At 44.6% G+C, this 3,493-nt stretch overlaps 1 pseudogene; it reads left to right on the plus strand.

The window, feature by feature from the left end:
* Positions 1,014-1,876, plus strand: RPS4XP4 (ribosomal protein S4X pseudogene 4; annotated as a pseudogene).

Consider the following 3,493-nt stretch of genomic DNA (forward strand, 5'->3'; position numbering starts at 1 on the left):
AATAACTGAAAAGTACAGAGTTGATTACATCCAGGGATCCAGAAAATTAGGACTCATCTTTCTCTCTCTGCTCCACTAGCTCCATTCTTAGGCTGTCACTCCCAGATCATAAAAAGGCCACTGGACCCACAGTCTCACAGCTTTGCAGCCCCAGAAGAAGAGGACTGTTCTTTCCCAATAGTTTCAACACAAGTCCTGGCACTTGAGTCTCATAGGCTGCTTCAGGTCAGATGTCCACCCATGAGCTAAGCATCAAAGCCAGAGGAGGAAAAGCACCAACTGGCCAAGAATGAGTGACACCCCCATTGTTAGATGTGTCTAGGGTAAGGCGTGACCAGATCAGTTCAATTCAACACATATCTAATTTTAATTTCTATGTGACAAGCACAATCCCAGGTACTGTTGCCCAAAGAAGGGGAAATGAATTCTGTGTCTATTCCACCAACCATAAGACAAGTCAGAAAGACAGGAGCTCTGAGAAAGTGACAACTGACATCCAGCTGAGTTATACCGAACACACACCATGTTCCCTAATGAATCACTGGTCCTGGAGCCACGTCAGTTGCTGGCAATCGTGAAATGGGCCACATCTACTTTCTTAGCCTCTGTAGAAACCCACTGACTTTGACCCAGTTGTCTGTGGGCCTGTGTTCTTCAGGATATGTTCATTTAATTTATTTTTTTATTTTTTATTTTTTATTTTTTATTTTTAGATGGAATTTCACTCTTGTTGCCCAGGCTGGAGTGCAATGGTGTGATCTCGGCTCACTGCAACCTCCGCCTCCCAGGGTCAAGCAATTCTCCAGCCTTAGCCTCCCAAGTAGCTGGGATTACAGGCACCCACCACCACGCCCAGCTACTTTTTTTGTATTTTTAGTAGAGATGGGGTTTCACCATGTTGGCCAGGCTAGTCTCAAATTCTGACCTCAGGTGATCCACCCACCTCGGCCTCCCAAAGTGCTGGGATTACAGGCGTGAGCTACCATGCCTGGCTTGTTCATTGAATCTTTAGGGGAGGAAGGTGAACTTCTTTCCATGCCTAAGGTAGCCATGGCTTATGGTCCCAAGAAGCATCTGAAGTGGTAGCAGCTCAAAGCAATGGATGCTGGAGACACTGACTGGTGTGTCTGCTCCTCATCCATCCACCAGTCCCCACAAGCTGAGAGTATGTCTCCTCCTCATCATTTTTCCTAAGAAACAGAATTAAGTATGCCCTGATCAGAGATGAACTAAAGATTTGGATGCTGCGGCTCATTAAGATTGACGACAAGGTCCAAACTGATAGAACCTACCCTGCTGGATTCAAAGATGTCATCATCATTGACAAGACCAGAGAGAATGTCCGTCTGACCTGTAACATCAGGGTCACTTTGCCATTCACCGTATTACAGCTGAGGAGGCCAAGTACAAATTGTGCAAAGTGAGAAAAATCTTGCGGCTACAAAAGGAATCCCTCATCTGGTAACCAATGATGCTGGCACCATCCGCTACCCTGGTCCCCTCATCAAGGTGAATGACATCATTCAGATTGATTTGGATACTGGCAAGAGTACCGATGTCATCAAGTTTGATACTGGTAACCTGTGGATGGTGACTGGAGGTGCGAACCTGGGAAGAATTGGTGTGATTACCAACAGAGAGAGGCACCCTGGATCTTTTGATGTGGTTCATGTGAAAGATGCCAACAGCAACAGCTTTGCCACCTGGCTTTCCAGCATTTTTGTTATTGGCAAGGGCAACAAAACCCAAGGAAAGGGTATCCACCTCACCACTGCTGAAGAGACAGACAAGAGACTGGCAGCCTAAAGCAGTGGGTGAAATGGTCTCTAGGTGATATGTTAACAAGATCTTTGTACCTAATTAAAAATAATGCAGCCTAAAAAAATTGGGGTGTATTTGGCCAACTGGATCAACTAATATAATGTTTTTAGCTTGCAATTTGAAAATAACAAGTAGAGCTTAAATTAGCCAAGAATTTGTTATTTATTGAAAATAACAAGTAGAGCTTATATTAGCCAAGAATTTGTTTGGTTACAAGTTATTAAAATTCAACTCAAAGTCAAGACTAAGAGGAGGCCAGTGAGGAGCTGAGGGTGAGAAATGTATGAAGGTGCTCACTGTCAGGTTTGTAAAGATGCCTCCTTAAATTTTGCTCCTCAAGTGCCTCATTTGACTTGCTCTGTTCCCACTTCTGATCCAACTCAAACTAACTTAAGCCAAAAAGGAAAAATTACAGGCTCAATAGTTGAACTAGAAAAGGCACAGTGATGAAGCTGGCCTCAAGCACACATGGACCCAGGGTTCAAATGCACCCATATTTATTTACTCTTCTCTCCTGCTGTCTCCTCCTGTCTGCCTCCTCACTCTCTCTTCTGCTTTTCTCTGCCAGTTTGCTTCAGTCTCTCCTACCACCATTAGTCTTTCTCCTTACAATTAGTTTATAGTCACATACAGCACCAGGCTAAGCTCTTCATCTTGCAAGCAGAACTAGGCGCGGGGGCAGAGGACTAGGAGAAAGACTTCCTATTTGCTATCTTGGGTCAATATGCATGCCTGGACCAATCACTGTGGTGATAATATATTTGCCCAGTGTTGGACAGAACTCACCACTGTGGTCTAGGGGCTGGAGGCTGAGACCAGAAGACAGGAGGATCTGATGGGCAGACCAAGACAGCTCTTAGTATTTCAAGTCTTAAATACTCTAGCCTTTATTTTTATTTTCCTATTGAAACAATTATTTTTAAATCACACAGTTTGATAATCGGAGGTTTCTTTTAAAATGCAACTATATTTGTTCCAGTAGTAAAAATAAGAAAAAAAAATGCGGCCGGGCACGGTGGCTCACGCCTGTAATCCCAGCACTTTGGGAGGCTGAGGTGGGCAGGTCACCTGAGGTCAGGAGTTCAAGACCAGCCTTACCAACATGGAGAAACCATGTCTCTACTAACAATACAAAAATTAGCCAGGCGTGGTGGTGCGTGCCTGTAATCCCGCTACTTAGGGAGCTGAGGCAAGAGGATCACTTGAAGCTGGGAGGCGGAGGTTGCAGTGAGCCGAAATCACGCCGCTGCACTCCAGCCTGGGCAACAAAGTGAGACTCTGTCTCAAAAAAAAAAAAAAGAAAGAAAAAGAAAAAAAAATGCAACTATTGAATTACAGAATAGATTCCACTCAGGGGCAGGAAGAGGCAATAGGGAAAGAGATAAATTAGAAAGGAGAAATTAGAGCCAGCTGATAGAGGCCCTTGAGTTCATTATTTTAATACATTTGCATTAAATGCCTATTCAGTGCCAGGAATGGTAAAGTTTGGATTCTATTCTGTAAGCAGCAAGGATTTTGGGGGGGCAGAGGCATGTCAGAGTAAGAGAAACTGCTCTGAAAAGGCAACAAACCATGGGTGATCCTGGAAGAGAGATAACAAGCCCACCTGCTGGAGAGGTTGTCCCAGGCCCAGAAACCAGTGGGCAGCACTTGCGGAGCACAACCTCTATGC

The sequence above is a fragment of the Homo sapiens genome, chromosome 1, assembly GCF_000001405.40.
Source record: "Homo sapiens chromosome 1, GRCh38.p14 Primary Assembly".
NCBI classification, from domain to species: domain Eukaryota; kingdom Metazoa; phylum Chordata; class Mammalia; order Primates; family Hominidae; genus Homo; species Homo sapiens.